Genomic DNA, 18,747 nt, shown 5'->3' on the forward strand with positions numbered 1-18,747 from the left:
GGGGAGGGGAGGGAGGAAGGAAAGGAAAGGAAAGGAAAGGAAAGGAAAGGAAAGGAAAGGAAAGGAAAGGAAAGGAAAGGAAAGGAAAGGAAAAAGTCTGGGGTTGGCAGATGCCAGACACAGAATGTTCATAATTAATTACGTCATCCTAATTCAGTCCCAAGCCCCTTCCAGCTCTCTCTCTCTCTGTGTGTGTGTGTGTGTGTATGTCTGTGTGTGTGTGAGAGAGAGAGAGAAGATAGGGTTTCACTGTGTTGCCCAGGCTGGTCTTCAACTCTTGGCCTCAAATGATCCTCTCACCTTGGCCTTCCAAAGTGCTGGGATGACAGGCGTGAGCCATTGTGCCCAGCCCCTTCCAGCTTTGTTCTGTCATTTCAGTATTTCAGTATTTCAGTTTGTCAGCCTGAGCCTCAGCCTGTCTCCCCTCATAGGCACAAGGTGGCTGCCACAGTTCCAGGCATCACATACAAAGAGGACAACACTAACAAGAGGAAAATATGCTCCCTTTACCTTTCTTCAGAGCTGAGCTCTAAACCCAACAGGTTTTATTTCACAGCCTGTGCCCTCCAACATTTTGCCATCCTGAAGAAAGGACAAGAGGCAGCACTCCAATCACCACTCCATTCTGATCACTAGTTCCAGGCCTTTCCTCGTCTTTGGGTATCTCCTTTTCTTTCCTTTCCTTTCCTTTCTTTCTTTCTTTTTTTTTTTAAGAGACAGTCTCACTCTGTCACTCAAGCTGGAGCACAGTGGTGTGATCATAGCTCACTGCAGCCTCAAACTCCTGGGTTCAAGCAATCGACCCTCCCACCTCAGCCTCCTGAGTAGCTAGGACTACAGGTGTGTGCCATCACACTTGGCTAATTTTTTAAAGTTTTTCTGTAGAGATGGGGTCATGCAATGTTGCCCAGGCTGGTCTGAAACTCCTGGGCTCAAGCGATCCTCCTGCCTTGGCCCCCACAAAGTGCTGGGATTACAGACATGAGCCTCTGCACCTGGCCTACCTTTGGGTATTTTCATTTTCATTTTTAGTTTTGAATATAAAATATTTGAGACCCACAAAAGAATATTTGAAGTGCACATGAGTCACGCATCTTAATGATCAATGAATATTTATAAACCCATCACTCAACTTAAATCCTAGAACATCATAATACTATTGGAGCTACCTATGTGTCCTTCCTGACTTTTTTTTTTTTCTTTGAGATGGAGTTTCACTCTTGTTGCCCAGGCTGGAGTGCAATGATGTGATCTTGGCTCACTGCAACCTCCACCTCCCGGGTTCAAGCTATTCTCCTGCCTCAGCCTGCATAGTAGCCAGGATTACAGGCATGCACCACCACGCCCAGCTAATTTTGTATTTTTAGTAGAGGCAGAGTTTCACCATGTTGGTCAGGCTGGTTTCGAACCCCTGACCTCAGGTGATCCGCCCGCCTCGGCCTCCCAAAGTGCTGGGATTACAGGCGTGAGCCACCACACCCGGCCTCTGACTTTTTGTTTTGTGTTGTGTTATCCTTCCATTGATTTTTCCTTCTGTTTAACCACACTAGAGTGGGTCGTTTTGTTGTTGAGCCTTACAAAAATGTTATTTTATTATATGTAGTCTTCTATAGGTTGGTGTTTGAACTCAACATTGTATTCCTGCGTCTGTTGGCATTAGATGCTAAGACAGAGCTAGGGGTGTGAAGTTTTTTGGTAGGTGATGCCTAAAGAAATACAAGGGGGAGGAAATAGAATCTGGCAGGAGGAGCCTGAGACCATGATGTTGATCTGATTCATCTGGGAGAGGAAAAAGGTGAGGTGGGATTGGGCAGGGAAAGGCTCAGAATGTGATATTATTTTTTTTCCTGTAGACACGGAGTCTTGCTGTGTTATCCAGGCTGTTCTCAAACTCCTGGCCTCAAGTGATCCTCCCACCTGGGCCTCCCAAAGTGCTGGGATTACAGGTGTGAGCCACCATGCCTGGCCTGAATAAGATGCATTTCTGGCAATGTTGACCAATGCCACAGGGAGCTCAGAACACAGGTCATTCATTAGAGGAGCCTCCCATTGGGTAGGCACGGCCTGATCTGAGAAGCCATGCTCAATAATCACTGATGTCTTCCCCAGGTCTTGGCTCAAAAGCTGATGCAGATCCTGAAGGCACTGCCCTGCTTGCAACAGAATGGCACGGTCTTTTTTGAAGGGATGGCTGGGCTCAGTGGCTCACACCTGTAATCCCAGCACTTTGGGAGGCTGAAAGAGGCTGATCACTTGAGGTCAGGAGTTCAAGACCAGCTTGGCCAACATGAGGAAACCCCACCTCTATTAAAAATACACACACGGCCGGGGGCGGTGGCTCATGCCTGTAATCCCAGCACTTTGGGAGGCTGAGGTGGGAGGATCAGCTGAGGTCAGAAATTCGAGACCAGCCTGGCTAACATGGTGAAACCCTGTTTCTACTAAAAATACAAAAAATTAGCTGGGCGTAGTGGCACATGCCTGTAATCCCAGCTACTCGAGAGGCTGAGGCAGGAGAATTGCTTGAACCTGGGAGGCGGAGGTTGCAGTGAGCTGAGATCGTGCCATTGCACTCCAGCTTGGGCAACAAGAGCAAAACTCCGTCTCAGAAAAGAAATACACACGCCTGTAATCCCAGCTACTTGGGAGGCTGAGGCACGAGAATTGCCTGAACCCGGGCGGTGAAGGTTGCAGTGAGCCAAGATCATGCCACTGCACTCCATCCTGGTGGCACTCCTCTTTGGTTGCCACAGTGCTAAGATTTATCCATGTGGAAATGTGTGGTAGTTCATGTTCCTGCTGCATGGTATTCCACACCCCTCATTTCAGTGATTCATTTGTTAGCAGCTATTTGGGTTGATTCTAATTTTTTGCTGTTACAACAAACACTGCAAAGAATATTCTTTTTTTTTTTGAGATAGGATCTTGCTCTGTCACCCATGCTGGAGGGCAGTAGCTTGATGATGACTTACTGCAACCTCCACCTCCCAGGGCTCAAGCAATCCTCCCACATCAGCCTCCTGAGTACCTGGGACTACAGGCATGTGCCACCCCACCCACCTAATTTTTGTATTTTTTTTTTAATAGAGACAGGGTCTTGCCATATTGCCAAGGTTTGAACTGCTGGCCTCAAATTATCCTCCCACCTTGGCCTCCCGAAGTACTGGGATTACAGGTGTGAGCCACCTCTTCTTTTTTGAGATGGAGTCTCACTCTGTCACCCAGGCTGGAGTACAATGGTGTGATCTTGTCTCACTGCAACCTCCACCTCCCAGGTTCAAGCGATTCTCCTGCCTCAGCCTCCCGAGTAACAGGTGTGAGCCACCACGCCCGACCAAGTCACCTTTTTCCTCAAAGAACATTCTTGTACCACCTGTGTCTCTATTGCATGTGTATAAGAGTTTCTGTTGATATATCTTAGATTTGGAATTTCTGGCTCATGCAATCTGCATATATTCGACAAGATAGTGCCAAAATGTTTTCTATTAGATTCTTTAACACAGCCTTTAACCTTGTACTACATTCCTCTTTTCATTTAAGCTAGCTTGAGTGGGTTTCTATTGCTTGCAATTCTAACCTACCTAACTCATCAAAAATGACTTTTTGATGACAACTCTGTGACATTCCTCCCAAGAGGTCCCCACCCTGACAATAGTCACCTCAGGTTTAGAACTACAGGAGGTTATGGGTGAATGAGGCACAAACACAAGTTTGACACGTCCTTAGCAATACACTCACACTGGCTGGACACGGTGGCTCACACCTGTAATTTCAGCACTCTGGGAGGCTGAGGCAGGAGGATCACTTGAGCAAAGGAATTCAAGACCAGCCTGGGCAATGTAAAAATGTAAAAAAAAATGTAAATGTAAAAAACAAAATGCAAAAAATAAAATGTAAAAAAAATAATAGTAGGCCAGGTGCCGTGACTCACACCTGTAATCCCAGAATTTTGGGAGGCCGAGATGGGTGGATCACAAGGTCAGGAGTTTGAGACCAGCCTGGCCAACGTGGCGAAACCCTGTCTTCTCCACTAAAAATACAAAAATCAGCCTGGTGTGGTGGTGGGAGCCTGTAATCCCAGCTACTCAGGAGGCTGAGGCAGGAAAATTGCTTGAACCCCAGAGGCAGAGGTTGCAGTGAGCCAAACTTGTGCCACTGCACTCCAGCCTGGGAGACAGAGTGAGACTCTGTCTCAAAAAAAAAAAAAAGTAGTAAAAAGACTTTTTAAAATAAGATAAGACATACACTCATACATGCAGATCCTCGGTCCATGATGATGCCATTTTCCTGCTGCTCTGACCCAGGCACAGCCTCCCTCTGGACATCTTATTAGTTGGCCTAATGACTGCTTGTGATGTTTAAGTCATTTGCAATTAAATCTTCCACAACTTGTAACTGAAAGCATCCTTAGTGACTTTTTCACTCTTCATTCATTCTTTCATATTCTTACTCTCTGTCCCTCCCTCTTTCTCTCTCCCTTTCTTCTTTTTCTTTTCTTTTTTTTTCTTAAAGGAGGGGTCAGCTGGATGCAGCGGCTCATGCCTGTAATCCCAGCACTTTAGGAGGCCAAGGTGGGTGGATCACTTGAGGCCAGGAGTTCGAGACCAGCCTGGCCAACATGGCAAAACCCCGTCTCTACCAAAAATACAAAAATTAGCCAGCATGGTGGCACACACCTGTAGTCCCAGCAACTCAGGAGGCTGAGGCAGGAGAATCGCTTGAACTCAGGAGGCGGAGGTTGCAGTGAGCTGAGATGGCACCACTGCACTCCAGCCTGGGGGACAGAGTGAGATCCTGTCTCAAAAAAATAAAAATAAAAACAAAAATAACAAAAAGCCAGGGTCTCACTCCATTACCCAGGCTGGAGTGCGGTAGTGGGATCATACTCACTGCAGCCTCGACCTCCCTGGCTCAAGTGATCCTCCTGCCTCAGCCTCCTGAGTAGCTGGGACTACAAGTGCACACCACCATGCCAGGCTAATTTTTTTTATTCTTTATTTTTTATAGAGATTGGAGTCTTGCTATGTTGCCCAGGCTGGTCTCAAACTCCTGTGCTCAAGCAATCTTCCCAGGACGGCCTCCCAAAGTACTGGGATAATAGGCATAAGCCATCCTGCCCAGCTTTCTCTCTCCTCTGTCTCACACACACACACACAAACACGCACACACACACACACACACACACACAAACACGTACAGCTACAGTCACATATGCAGACAAGTGGCGTTCAGTCATTAATAAAGTCACATATACAAGCAAGGTCAATGTCACAGACAAATTTCTTATTGTTTGTTGTCACAAATTGTATAAAAAGAACAAGAGCAAACATTTTTTGGGGGCTTCACAAACAAATAGGGATCTGGAGGTGGTAATCTAGGCAAGGTAGTTGGTGCATACATACCTAAGGTAATGGATGGTGCTATGGTTTGAATATTTATCTCCTCCAAAGCTCATGTGGAAACCAAATCCCCAGTGTGGCAGAATTAAGAGGTGTGGCTTCTAAGAGGTGATTGGATTATGGATTCGTGGACTAATGGATTAATGGGTTGATGTGTTACTATGAGGGTGGCACTGGTGGCTCTATTTATTTATTCATTTATTTAGACAGAGTCTCGCTATGTCACCCAGGCTGGAGCGCAGTGCCATGATCTTGGCTCGATGCAACCTCCACCTCCAGGGTTCAAGCGATTCTCCTGCCTCAGCCTCCTGAGTAGCTGGGATTACAGGCTTGAGCCACCACAGTCAGCTAATTTGTTTGTATTCTCAGTAGAGACAGGGTTTCACTATGTTGGCCAGGATGGTCTCAAACTCCTGACCTGAAGTGATCCACCCACCTTGGCCTCCCAAAATGCTGGGATTACAGGTGTGAGCCAACTGGTGGCTTTATAAGAAGAGGAAGACAGACCTGAGTTGGCATGCTTGGTGCCCTCGCCCTGTGATGCTTTGCACCACCTTAGGGCCCTGCAGAGTCCCCACCAGCAAGAAGGCCCTCAGCAGATGAGGCCTCTCGACCTTGCCGTTCTCAGCCTCCAGAACTGTAAGGAATAAATTCCTTTTCTTTATAAATTACCCAGTTTCAGATATTCTGTTGTAAGCAACAGAAAACAGACTAAAACAGACAGATGGCAGGTGGGTCTCAGGGGCAGACACACGGGTCTCCACTGGCCACACACTTCAGGTCCCAAATAGAGAGGCAGAAAAGGCCAGGTGTGGTGGCTCATGCCTATAATTCCAGTGATGTGGGAGGGCTAGCAGGGAAGATCGTTTGAACCCAGAAGTTAGAGGCTGCAGTGAGCTAGGACCTCACCACGGCACTCCAGCCTGGGTGATAGTGTATGTCTCTCTTAAAAAAAAAAAAAAAAAAGGAGAAGGGAAGGGGAAGGTTCAAGACAGTGGAGGCACGAGGAGCCCCAGAACTCTGTTGGGGAGACACTAATTCGTGCACCTGCCATCCTCCCCCAGGACCCAAAGGACCCGGGTCTGTCATCTTCCTCGGGGCCTCCTGGAGCTGGTGCAGCCAGTGGTGGAGGCGGCCCCGGGGCCTGGGCCTTGCTGAGGCTGGATCTGTGAGCAGAGGAGGGCGGTGTGTGAGGCGGGGCCTGGGCCACCACAGGGGAAGGATGCTGCTCAGAGCCCACAGACCTGGGTGCCCGGGCCCCGAGGACTCACACTGGCCCCAAGCTGGGAGAGGATGTTGTGGAGGGTGTGAAGGAGCTGGTCCAGGACATCCCCCAGGGCCGGATCAGCATCAGCGGTGACCTCCAGGACCTTCAGTGTCAGGGCCAGCTCAGCCTCCAAAGCCACAGGGCGCTCCCTCACCTGAAGAGAGGTGAGAAAGAGCAGGTGAGGGGGCGGGTGAGGGGAACAGATGGGGGGAGGAGGATAGAGAGGAACAAGTGAAGGTGACAAGCACAGGGGAGAGGGCACAGCCAGTGTGGTCAGGTGGGAGTAGAGGGAAGGGGGAGCAGGTGTGGGGAGAGGAGAGAGGGACAAGGGAGAAGGAGAAGATGAAGGGGCCACTACAGAGCCAGGTGAGTGGGGCTGGGAGAGCAGGGGTGGGCCTGACTCCCCCTCTCACCTGCAGCTGCCTCAGGTCCCAGGTCCTGGGGAAGAGGCGGGAGCGGCACCTGCAGTCCTTCAGCAGAAGCGACACTTCCTAGACAGCAAAGGCACAGGTTAGCCCCAGCAGGAGGGGTGGAGGTTAGACCACTCTGATGGGATTGGAGGATGGCTGACAACAGGATAGGGAAGTTAACTGGTGGGAGGATAGTAGAGGACCCTCTTCTACAGAAGAACATGCGTCAGTCCCTGCAGTAGGAGCATGAGATAGCCTACTGCAGGGAGGGTGGAGGCTAGCCCAGTGAAGGAAGCTGGAGGTCTTCGCTCAACAAAGTCAGCATGGTGACCCATAGAGGGTGATGGAGGCTAGCCCACGGCAGGAGGGGCAGGGGGAGACTCACACAGGCCTCGTTCTGTCTATTAAAGCCTGAGCTGCATGGACTTCCTGTCTGGTTCCTGCGCCTTTTTCACCAGGGGGATGCAGTGTCCTGGGCTCCACGGCTTTGGGTCTCTATTCAGTCTTATTCAAAGTCTCTGGCTTCGGTCTCTTCTTCTGGATCTCCACCTGCTGCTCTGGGTTTGGCTGTTTCTGATTTCCAGCTCGGTCTGGGGTATCATTCCTGCCTGAGCTCCAGGGCACACTGTTTAGCTGGGACAGAGGCCAGTCCCACGGGTGCAGAGCGGCCTGAGGCACCGGAGGGGGTGGGGTGGGGGAGGCCCAGGCTGGAGAAGTCCAGAGCAGGGCGGGGCCAGGTGCCGCAGCTGCCCCTGGGGAAAGAGAAAGTGACACGTGCCCGGGCCAGGCTCTGTGTTCGCCTACAGGAAGGTGACTTCCTGAACCACACATGCCTGGGGCTGTAGCAGCTTCAGCTCAGGAGGAGGAGCCACGGGTGCCCCCAGGGCAGGACTAGGGTTTGAGGGGGCGGGTGAGGGGCTTGTGTATCTGCAGATTGCTCAGATGTGGAGGGGGGTGGCTGAGGGAAACCCGGGAAGTATTTCCCTGAGGGGTGGAAGGGGGGACTCTAGAAGGAGACTGCTTAGGGTAGGGGAGACCACCCAGGGAAAGGGATACTGTGGGGATGGGAGGACGGAGTCAGTGAGGCCAAGACCACAGAGTATAAAGAAAAGGACAGGCCACTTTGGTACGCCAAGGCAGGAGGATCACTTGAAGTCAGGAATTTGAGACCAGCCTGGGCAACATAGCAAGACCCCCGTCACTACAAAAAAAAATTTTTTTCGACTAGCCAGGCATGGTGGTGTGCCCCTGTAGTCCCAGCTACTCCGGAGGCTGAGGCAGGAGGATCACTTGAGCCCTGGAGTTCAAGGTTGCAGTGAGCCATGATTGCACCACTGCACTGCAGTCTGGGTGACAGAGCTAGACCTCGTCTCAAGGGAAAAAAGGAGAGCCCTCCCTGCACTCCCAACTCTCCCCAACCTGCCATCAGTTGGGGGGTGGGGGAGGCAGGAACAGGGGAGTGACAGTGTCTACTCAGGAATTCAGGTACAGCTGAGGGCTTCAAAGGAAGCAGGTTGATTGTAACAGACCCATTCCTTTATTCATTCATTGAATCTGTCATTGGTTCAAAAAGTATTTATTGAGCAGGAACTATGGGCCAACACTGTCCTGTGCACTGAGGGCCCAGCAGAGAACAAAATACACAAAATTCCCTGTCTCTCGAGGAGCTGACATACCAGTGGGAGAGTCAGGCAGTAACAAATAAGTTAAATATGTACAATGTCACTGAAAGAAGCGCTTTTGAGAAAAATTATGCTGCAGATGGAGCCGGCTGAACCCAGAAGAAGTTGCCTGCTCTAAGGCAGCCAGAGAAGGGGACATCTAGTTGAAAACCTAAAGGAGGAGGGAGGGAACAGCATTCTAGGCAACGGGAACAGCCAGTGCAAAGTGAGGACAACGACAAGTTTCTCTAACGGATGCCACCCTGTCCCGGAGGCTTTACACATGCAAGAGCAGTGAATTCTCCCAACACCTCTGAGAAAGGTACCATGCTTTCTTCTACCTTGAAAATGAAGAAGCTGGTACTCAGAGAGGTTAAGAGACTTGGCCAAGTTTACACAGCAGGTATGTGCTAAGAGCAGTCTGAGTTTTCCCTGACACCCAGGCCTTAACCCCTGCACCTCCTGCCTTCAGAGGTTTTGAGTTTTTCTTTTTTTTTTTCTTTTGAGATGGAGTCTCGCTCTGTTGCCTGTCGCCCAGGCTGGAGTGCAGTGGCACGATCTTAGCTCACTGCAACCTTCACCTCCCAGCTTCAAGTGATTCTCCTGCCTCAGCCTTCTGAGTAGCTGAAAACCATGTGTATTCCTGGGCCTGTGGATTTGGAAGGGCAGGGAAAACCATGTGTATTTTCATTTGGAAGGGCAGGGAAAACCGTGTGTATTTTCATACAGGCATCCGCCACCACACCTGGCTAATTTTTGTATTTTTAGTAGAGATGGGGGTCTTACCTTGTTGGCCACGCTGGTCTGGAACTCCTGACCTCAGGTGACCCTCCCACCTCAGCCTCCCAAAGTGCTGGGATTACAGACCTGAGCTACCGTGCTGACCAGAGGTATTGAGTACTTTGAAGATACTTTTCTGAGTCCTTGGTCACCTGAATTCTGCCCATCCAGGGAGTCCCTTGAGGAAACCTGGGGGCTGATCTTGCCATGTGCACATGTGCTCCGAAACCCTCTTGCCCCTCCATCCTCAGCATTATTAGATATGGAGACTAGTACTGGCCACCAAACCCAAGACTACATTCTCTAGCATCCTGCATGCTAGGGATGACCATGTGACTAACCCATCACCACCATCTAGGCCTTAAAACACAGGGTGGGTGGTCCCTGCTCTGTTTCCTATTGTCACCACTGAAAAACTGGACATGTCTGAGAGCCGAATCCTGCTGTACAGGTGAGAACAAACTCCAGGACAGGGCTTCTAACCTGGCAGAAGAATTCCTGGGCCTGTGGATTTGGAAGGGCGGAAAAACTATGTGTATTCTCACTAACCTCTGTCTGAAATTTGATATTTCCTGAATGTATGTTTCTTACACCTGCTGTAACAAATGACCCCCAACTTAGTGGGGTAAAACAACTCAGACTTTCCAGGGATGGATAGACGGATGGGCAAAATATAGTCTACACATATGATGGAATATGATTCAGCCTTCAAAAGGCAGAAAATTCTGGCCGGGTGCGGTGGCTCCCACCTGTAATCCCAGCACTTTGGGAAGCCGGAGCAGGAGGATCGCTTGAATCCAGGAGTTCCAGATCAGCCTGGGCAACATACTGAGGCCTCGTCTCTATAAAAAATTTAAAAATTAGCCAGATGTGGTAGCACACATTTGTAGTGCTGGCTACTCAGGAAGCTAAGGCAGGAGGATCACTTGAGCTGAGGAATTTGAGGCTGCAGTGAGCTGATTGCACAACAGTACTCTAGCCTGGGTAACAGAGCAAGACCCTGTCTCTAAACTTAAAGACAGAGAGAGAGAGTCCAGGCGCGGTAGCTCATGCCTGTAATCCCAGCACTTTGGGAGGCCAAGGCCAGTGGATCACCTGAGATCAGGAGTTCGAGACCGACCTGGCTAACATGGTGAAACCCCATTTCTACTAAAACTACAAAAAATTAGCTGGGTGTGGTGGCAGACACCTGTAATCCCAGCTACTCGGGAGGCCGAGGCAGGAGATTCACTTGAACCCAGCAGGTGGAGGTTGCAGTGAGCCAAGATCGCGCCACTACACTCCAGCTTGGGCAACAAGAGCGAAACTCTGTCTCAAAAAAAAAAAAAAAAAAAAAGAGAGCAAGAGGAGGGAAGGAAGTTCTGACACATGCTACAATAAAAATGAACTTTGAAGACATTATGTCAGTGAAATAAGCCAGTCTCAAAAGAACAAATGCTGTATGATTCCCCCTACATGAGGTGCTGAGAGAAGTCAAATTCCTAGAAACAGACGTGTCTAAATATTTGCCGGGGTAGCGGGAGGGGTTAATAGGAAGTTGTTGTTTAATGGGTACAGAGATTCAATTTTGTAAGATGAAGAGAGTTCTGGAGATTGCTTGCCGAACAATGTAGCAAACACCACTAGGACCAGACCTGTAATCCCGGCACTTTGGGAGGCCAAGGGGGGCAGATCACTTGAGGTCAGGAGTTCGAGACCAACCTGGCCAACATGGCAAAACCCCATCTCTACTAAAAATACAGTAATTAGCCAGGCATCTGACTGGCTAATGGCACACACCTGTAGTCTCAGCTACTCAGGAGGCTGAGGTGGGAGGATCACTTGAGCCTAGGAGGTCGAGGCTGCAATGAGCTATGATCATGCCAGTGCCCTCCAGCCAGGGTGACAGAGCAAGGTCCTGTCTCAAAAAAAAAAAAATAGAATAAATAAATAATAAAATTGCACTACTGAACAATGTGCTTTAGAAAGGATAAGATGGTACATTTTGTGGGTTTCCCACAATTAAAAAAAATATTTAAATTACCTGAACAAAAAGAACAAAACAAAATGCATGCACATTTCTATTCCTACAGTTCTGACAGTCAAGATGTCAGCAGAGCGGGTTCCTTCTGGAAGCAGCAGGGGAGATCTCTCTCCTTTCTCAGCCTCTGGGGGTGTCCAGCATCCCTTGACCCCGGTTCCCTTCCTGACATCACTCCAATGTCCTGTTTCTGTGGTTACATCTTCCGCTAATGATGCTGACCCCGGCCTCCTTCTTAGAAGGACTTTTGTGATGACATTGGGTCCAGGTGGACAACCCAGGATAACGCCCCCATCCCAAACCCTTAACTTACTCACATCTGCAGAGTCCCTCGTGCCATGGAACATAACATATTCCCAGGTCCAGGAATCAGGAACATCTCTGGGGACCAGTCTTGCATCTAGCACGAATCCATTACAAATGCAGCAACACACCACAGCAGTGTTAGCAGAACTTGTGACTGTTACCAAAAGAAATCACAGGCATTTCCTATCACGTTATCTTCCAGCAGGCACCTTGAAATGTCATTTATGCTCATCTCTGCTTCTAAGTCACAGTGGTTATTAAAGCTGCCACAGGTGATTTTTTACTTAATGCATTCATGAAGAAGCACATGAATTGCTATGTCACAGTGTGAAAAAATATTTTGATCACTGTATTACAATCAGAGTTGGATTCCTTTGTCCTGCACGTGTTCTTTCCTTCTGAGAAGGGTCCGTAGGCTTTTCAAGGCTGCCGTGAGGTCCGGTGGGTGAAGATGATGAGGGAGCCCTGTCCCGGGGACTGTGGAGCACAGAACTGCCAGGAACCAGGGCCCCTGGATGACTGAGTGGGGCCATCCTGCCAGGGGGAGCGCTCACCTTGGGAGGAGGAGCTGGTGGAGAATGACACTCTGTGGTTTGTAATTCATGATCACTGTATTTGGGGGACTCTTTGTTCCAGCAGCTCAGCCAACTCTACTCAGCAGGGGTCCCTGATCCAAGTTGTCCTCCTCATCTGTAGGGGCTTATCCAGGGTTAGTGAGACCTCATGTTTGCTTATACAATTCAGGGGCTTCTTGGAAAGAGAATGGGCTGGACCCGGTGACTCAAGCCTGTAATCCCAGTTCGGGGAGGGGCTGGAGAGGGTGGAGGATGGTGCCGAGGAGAGAGAATCACTTGAGCCCAGGAGTTTGAGGCTACAGTGAGATGTGATCACGCAAGAGACAGGATCTTGCTGTTGCTCAGGCTGGTCGTGAACTCCTGACCTCAAACAGTCCTCCCATCTCAGCTTCCACCAGTAGCTGGGATTATGGGCTTGTGCCACCACACCCAGCCAATTCTCTAATTTTTTATAGAGACAGGATCTTGCTATGTTGCCCAGGCTGGTCTGGGCTCAAGTGATCCTCCCAACTCAGCCACCCAAAGTGCTGTGATTACAGGCTTGAGCAATCACATCCAGGCTCTAAATTAATTTTAAAGATGCTTCATTTCACCCAATACATCCAAAGTGCTATCATTTCAACATCTAATGAATATATAAATTATAATTAAGCTGTTTTACTTTTTTTTTTTTCTCCACAGTAAATCTTCAAATTCTGGGGTATGTTTTACACTCACTGAAAAAATGAGGTTGCACCACCTACATTCCAGGTGCTCGATAGTGACATGTGACCTGGGGACCCCAGTGGACAGCACAGACTCAATGAACCTGCTGTTCTAGATGCTACTTTTAGGGTAATTTGTTATGGCAGCAATGCAAAGGAAATACACACCAACGCACACACAGTCCCACGTCATGGGTGTCTTTTCCTCATTGTTTATTTCAACAAGGATTTCAAAAAGTAGAAAAATAAACATTTTCCTGGAGGTGAGTTGGATTTACATACACAAATACATAAATAGCGACTGGGTGACAATAAATTAAGCCAAGTGGCTAATTTATAAATAAAATCTCAGGTTGCATGACTGGCGGAAGGGTCAGACACACAGGTCCCCGCTGGCAACACAATTCAGGTCTCGCGTGAGGAGGCGGAAGAGGTTGAAGGTGACAGAGGCCTCGAGGCAGCCAGGGGACTCCTGTAGGGAGGAGGGGATGGGTCAGGGGCTGTCTGGGTTCTGGGCTCCCAGTGGCTCCCCAGACCTCAGTCCCTCTCTTCCCGGGTCACTCACCTTTTTTGGGGCCTCCTGGAGCCGGTGCAGCCAATGGTGGAGGCGGCCCCGGGTCCTGGGCCCTGCCGTGGGCTGAGGCTGGATCTGTGGGCAGAGGAGGGCGGTGTGTGAGCCGGGGCCTTGGCCAGGGGAAGGACGCTGCTCAGAGCTCACAGACCTGGGTGCCCGGGCCCTGACGACTCACACAGGCCCGGAGCTGGGAGAGGATATGGTGCAGGGTGTGAAGGGGCTGGTCCAAGACATCCCCCAGGGCTGGGTCAGTGTCAGCGGTGGCCTCCAGAACCTTCAGCGTCAGGGCCAGCTCAGCCTCCAAAGCCACGGGGCGCTCCCTCACCTGAGGAGAGGTGAGAAAGAGCAGGTGAGGGGGGAGGTGAGGGGAACAGGTTGGGGGAGGAGGATAGAGAGGAACAAGTGAAGGTGACAGGCACAGGGGAGAGGGCACAGCCAGTGTGGTCAGGTAGGAGCAGAGGGAAGGGGTAGCAGGTGTGGGGAGAGGAGAGAGGGACAATGGAGAAGGAGAAGGTGAAGGGGCCACTACAGAGCCAGGTGAGCAGGGCTGGGAGGGCAGGGGTGGGCCTGACTCCCCCTCTCACCTGCAGCTGCCTCAGGTCCCAGGTCCTGGGGAAGAGGCGGGAGCGGCACTTGCAGTCCTTCAGCAGAAGCGACTCTTCCTAGACAGCAAAGGCACAGGTTAGCCCCAGCAGGAGGGGTGGAGGTTAGACCACTCTGATGGGATTGGAGGATGGCTGACAACAGGATAGGGGAGGTTAACTGCTGGGAGGATGGTAGAGGACCCTCTTCTTCAGGAAAACATGAGTCAGTCCCTGCAGTAGGAGCATGAGATAGCCCACTGCAGGGAGGGTGGAGGCTAGCCCAGTGAAGGAAGCTGGGAGTGGGAAAGCATGGTGACCCTTGGAGTGCGGGTGGAGGCTAGTCCATGGCAGGAGGGCAGGGGGAGACTCACTAAGGCATCTTTGGCCCTCTTAAAGGCCTGCAGCTCCTGTGGAGACAGGGACTTGAACTGGGCTATGTGGCAGCCCCTTGCATCCGGGAGAGCCCCGCGGAGCCTGGCGACAGGAACTGCTCCAGTCACGGTCAGCACTGCGGCCATCAGCACCAGCACTGGCATGCAGTCCCCGGTCATGTCTGTGTCACAGAGAGAAAGGGAGCTGAGGGAATGCAGAGGCTGCCCACTGAGGGCAGGGGCTGCAGGAGCTGAGCACGGACAGAGATGTGGGACTCACCTAGTTTCATTCCTGATCTCTGGTCTTTGTCAGCAGAAGAAACACTCTGAGGCTGTCACCCAGGGTCTGTTTGGGTCTTGTCTGGAGTCTCTGTTCTTTTCAGTCCCCTCTTCTGGATCTCAGACTGTGTCCTGGCTTTGACTCTTTCTGTCAGTTTTGAGCTCTGTCTGGGATGTAATTCCTGCCTGAGCTCCATGGGGCAGCTTTTATCCCTGACAGAAGGGCAGTCCCAGCTGATGTAGGAAAAGTGAAAACACAGCCTCAGGTAAGACACCGGCCACCAGGGGAGCCCCAGGCTGGGAAAGCCCAGAGCAGGGCAGGGCTAGTGAGCCAGATGAGCAGCTGGAGGGAAAGAGAAACTGATGGAGACTCAGGGGTAACCTACAGGAAGGTATGTTCCCAAGAGGATTCCACCTGCTCTGGTTTTGTTGTTGTTTAAGACAGGGTCTCACTCTGTCACTGCAGTGCAATGGCATGATCACAGCTCACTGCAGCCTCAAACTCCTGGGCTCAAGCCATCCTCCTCACCCAGCCTATTAAAGTGCTGAGATTACAGGCCTGAGCCACCACTCCTGGCATATATATATATATATATATATATATATTTTGAGACAGGGTCTTGTTCGGTCACCCAGGCTGGAGTGCAGTGCAAAATCTTGGCTAACTGCAACCTCCGCCTCCTGGGTTCAAGCAATTCTCTTGCCTTAGCCTCCCAAGTAGCTGAGATTACAGATTTGTGCCACCATTCCCAGCTAATTTTTATATTTTTAGTAGAGATGGCGTTTCACCATGTTGGCAAGGCTGGTCTCAAATTCCTGATGTCAAGTCATCTCTCTGTCTAGGCCTCCCAAATTGCTGGGATTTCAGTGTGAGCCACCATGCCCAGAGGCCAATATTTCTTAATTGCCCAGGCAAGGAAGGACTCAGGAATATGAGGCTCTGCTCAAGAATTGAGGTGTGACGAAGGACTTGAAGGACACCACGTGGGTGCCGTCTTTCTTAGGGAAGTTCAGGCAGTGGTGAAGAGCATGGGTCTTGGAGATGAAGGGTCTGGGGTTCAAACCTGGTTCTGACCCTCACTAGCCGTGTGACCTTGGCAAGGAGGGGTGCATTCAGCAACGCAGATTGCTAATGCACAGATTTGGAGAAAAAATTAATAACACAATTGTTTGTGTATTTATGTGAGTGATTATTTAATAGAATCCACTCATTAAGACCATACTAGGACCTCAGCTGGAGAGTTTAAAACGTGATCTCAACGGACACTACTCCTCCACAAGGCAAGTATGCTAACCCATCCTATAGGTGAGGAAACAGAGGCTCAGAAAAGTAATTTGCCCTGAATTCCACTGTAATTAACTGGCAGGGTCAGAACTGAAACTCAGGCCACCTGAGTCCCTGGCTCGGCCTCTTTTTTTGCTGTAAGGTGCACCTCACAATCATCATACGGAAAACAACCAATGCGATCAAAACACTCTTTGATAACTGGCAATAAATTTAAACCGGGAGACAGAATAGCAAATGCACAGGAACTTCACAAATACAAACACACGTAAGGGAATCCAAAGAACCACAGTCGGTTAAGGACCCTTGGGCCTTTCACTACCAAATCCCTCATGGATTGGTGTCCCTTAGATGCCGGATCCAAGAGTCACGGATTCACAGAATCTCAAAGCTGGCTGTGGGGCTACAAATCCGGGGTTAGGACCTGGTGTTGGGGGTGTCCTGGTAACCACACAAGGAGGAACTGGTCCCTGTTGCCTGGGGTCAGCCACGGTTTCCAGAGCTCAAGTTTTTTCCTGCCACAGCAACCGTTGGAGGGTCGTACAATGCACCCCGAGGAAATATCGTGGCTTCCTGGAGAACTGTGGTCTCTTCCCTGTAGAAGGACCCGCTCCTCTTATATCTGAGACAGTGGATCCAAGTCAGGCCCAAGGCTGCGAAGAAGTTTTCGTGCCTCAGCACCCATTGACTGAGAGCCTCGCCCGGCCAGCCCAATGGACGACAGGAGCTGCTTTCGGCAGCCAATGGCGTGGAGGTTTCCGTGCTGCCAGAGGGGGCGGGGTCAGAGGCAAGGCCCAGAGTGTGCAGCCAGCCGGAGCTCCCACGTGAGCAGGCGCAGGAGGTTGAAGACCACGCTGGCTTTGCGGCACCGAGGCGAGTCCTGGAGCCAGGGAGGGAGGGCAGCGGGGCTAAGCCAGGCTCTTCCCCCCGCCCCCGGAATCCCCCTCCAGTCCCGCTGCTCGCAGCCTCAGTCCCGTCCTTGTCAGCCTCGCCTGGTCCTCCCTGCGGGCTAACCCTGTATTGCCTGTTGCACTCACCGCTCTCCGGGGTTTGTGACGCCTCTTCTGGGCCCCGGGGACCTTCCTGGAGGAGCCTGGCCGTGCCAGCTCAAGCTGGAGGTGGGACATGAGGCAAATGGAAAAGGCGAAGGACGAAGCCCCTCTCTGCATCTGCCCGTGGCCCTCCCAGCCGCAGACTCGAGCCCGGATTTCAGGACACCCAGAGGACCCGACTCCGGTCTGGATGGGTTTTTCCGCTAAGCAGGACAGATTGGCAAAGCGCTGGGGCTCGCCGTGGGCCTGAGGATGCAGAGAAGCTGGCGGGGGAGAGGGGCGGCGGGGCGCGGCCGTCACTCACGCAGGCCGCCACATCCCTCCCCGCGGCCGCCAGCAGCTCCAGGATCGGGCCGGCGCCGGGGAGCAGCTCCGAGCGGTGCAGGCCGCTGAGCACTGCCTGGGCGTCCGCGATGCCCCGGGCCACGTGGCGGAGCCGAGCGCAGGACTGCGGGGACGAGAGGGCGTTAGAGCGGGCCGCGCCCGGGCCATGCCTCTCCCGCCCACTCCCGGGCCTCACCGATGGCCGCGGAGGATCCCTCCTGGGGCGGAAGGAGCAGTTGCGCTGCCCCCAGCTCAGCGCCTCTTCCTCCTGCGGGACAAGCGGCGCTTATCGCATACGGCTAGGCCCCCTCGCCAGGGCCCCTAACCTCTGCACAGTCTGGGATTCCTGGACGTGGATGGGTACTGGCAGCGCACGGTCGTGCCTGTCGTGTACTGAACCAGGGAGCTCCCCGAAGGCGCGAACCAGGGTTGAATTGCACTCCGCGCTCCCCCAGCAAAGCCCCTCGCCCCGACCTGGAGCCGAGTCCTCCCGGCAGGGCTCCCTTCTGTGATTGACCCTGAGCCTGCGTTCGCGCTGACGACGGGGACTGCGGGGGTCTCGTGGTGGGAATTGTGGGCGCTGACATAGGAGAGGCGCCTGCTGGGCGCTAGGACGCAGGACCCCTTGGGACAGGAACGGGTGTATGGGAACCCGGTGGGGCCAGGGTCCCAGGGGGCACAGGGGCTGGGCGGTGACTTACGTAGCGGTCCCTCAGCGCCTTGGCAGCCGCCAGCGTCCGGGGCTCCAGCGAGCGGTAGTGCGAGAGCAGGCAGCGCCGGGGGGCCTTCTGCGATCACCGTGCACAGGACCCACAGCCCCGCGGCCACTGCGGCCCAGACACTCGGCCGCATCTCTGCTTCTGCAGCAGGCGAGAGACGTCAGGGAAGCCAAAGAGAGGGTCCAGCGCGTCCAGCCCCCCGCCTTGGGTTAGGATCCCAGGGAAGGCAATGCTCGGAGCGTGAAGGCACAGCACACACAGTGGGAGAGAGAGTGGGAGCCGGCCCCCTCCTCGCCTTGGCCTCTGCCCTCACTCCTGTCTGCAGTGCACCCTCTGTGCCTCGTGCTGCAGCAGGTGCTGCCGTCCACTGTCCCCTGGGAGGCGTCCAGAGCCGTCTCCACCTGGGCAACAGTGCCTCGACGGTCCATGCTGGCTTT

At 52.1% G+C, this 18,747-nt stretch overlaps 1 protein-coding gene, 1 long non-coding RNA gene and 2 pseudogenes across 4 annotated transcripts, besides 1 other annotated feature; all 4 read right to left on the reverse strand.

Moving 5' to 3' along the window:
- Positions 1-5,262: 5,262 nt before the first annotated feature.
- On the reverse strand, positions 5,263-7,703 carry LOC124904717 (uncharacterized). The gene is made up of 4 exons (XR_007067256.1): positions 7,462-7,703; positions 7,080-7,157; positions 6,671-6,820; positions 5,263-6,565 (listed from the first exon to the last, which is right to left on the reverse strand). It is a non-coding gene; the product is annotated as an uncharacterized LOC124904717 (long non-coding RNA).
- Positions 6,489-7,201, reverse strand: IFNL3P1 (interferon lambda 3 pseudogene 1; annotated as a pseudogene).
- Positions 7,686-7,775: a silencer, noted in NCBI's record as "silent region_10595". NCBI's record gives its function as "represses an Ori minimal core promoter by ATAC-STARR-seq in GM12878 lymphoblastoid cells {active_cell/tissue: GM12878}" and the evidence as "EXISTENCE:reporter gene assay evidence [ECO:0000049][PMID:35858748]".
- IFNL3 (interferon lambda 3) lies at positions 13,319-15,114 on the reverse strand. 2 transcript variants are annotated; one of them, NM_001346937.2, is made up of 6 exons: positions 14,932-15,114; positions 14,652-14,833; positions 14,281-14,358; positions 13,872-14,021; positions 13,688-13,771; positions 13,319-13,594 (listed from the first exon to the last, which is right to left on the reverse strand). In NM_001346937.2, exons 1-6 carry the CDS (start codon positions 14,939-14,941, stop codon positions 13,496-13,498), a joined length of 603 nt encoding a protein of 200 aa, NP_001333866.1. In that variant the 5' UTR covers positions 14,942-15,114; the 3' UTR covers positions 13,319-13,495. The 2 variants fall into 2 exon arrangements, with proteins under 2 accessions (NP_001333866.1, NP_742151.2); NM_172139.4 differs by lacking the exon at positions 14,932-15,114 and having other exon boundaries at positions 13,417-13,594; positions 14,652-14,870.
- IFNL4 (interferon lambda 4 (gene/pseudogene)) lies at positions 16,178-18,720 on the reverse strand (annotated as a pseudogene). Its single transcript, NR_074079.1, has 5 exons — positions 18,293-18,720; positions 17,788-17,859; positions 17,572-17,715; positions 17,253-17,327; positions 16,178-17,095 (listed from the first exon to the last, which is right to left on the reverse strand). The product of NR_074079.1 is annotated as an interferon lambda 4 (gene/pseudogene), transcript variant 2 (transcript).

The sequence above is a fragment of the Homo sapiens genome, chromosome 19 (genome assembly GCF_000001405.40).
Source record: "Homo sapiens chromosome 19, GRCh38.p14 Primary Assembly".
NCBI classification, from domain to species: Eukaryota; Metazoa; Chordata; class Mammalia; order Primates; family Hominidae; genus Homo; species Homo sapiens.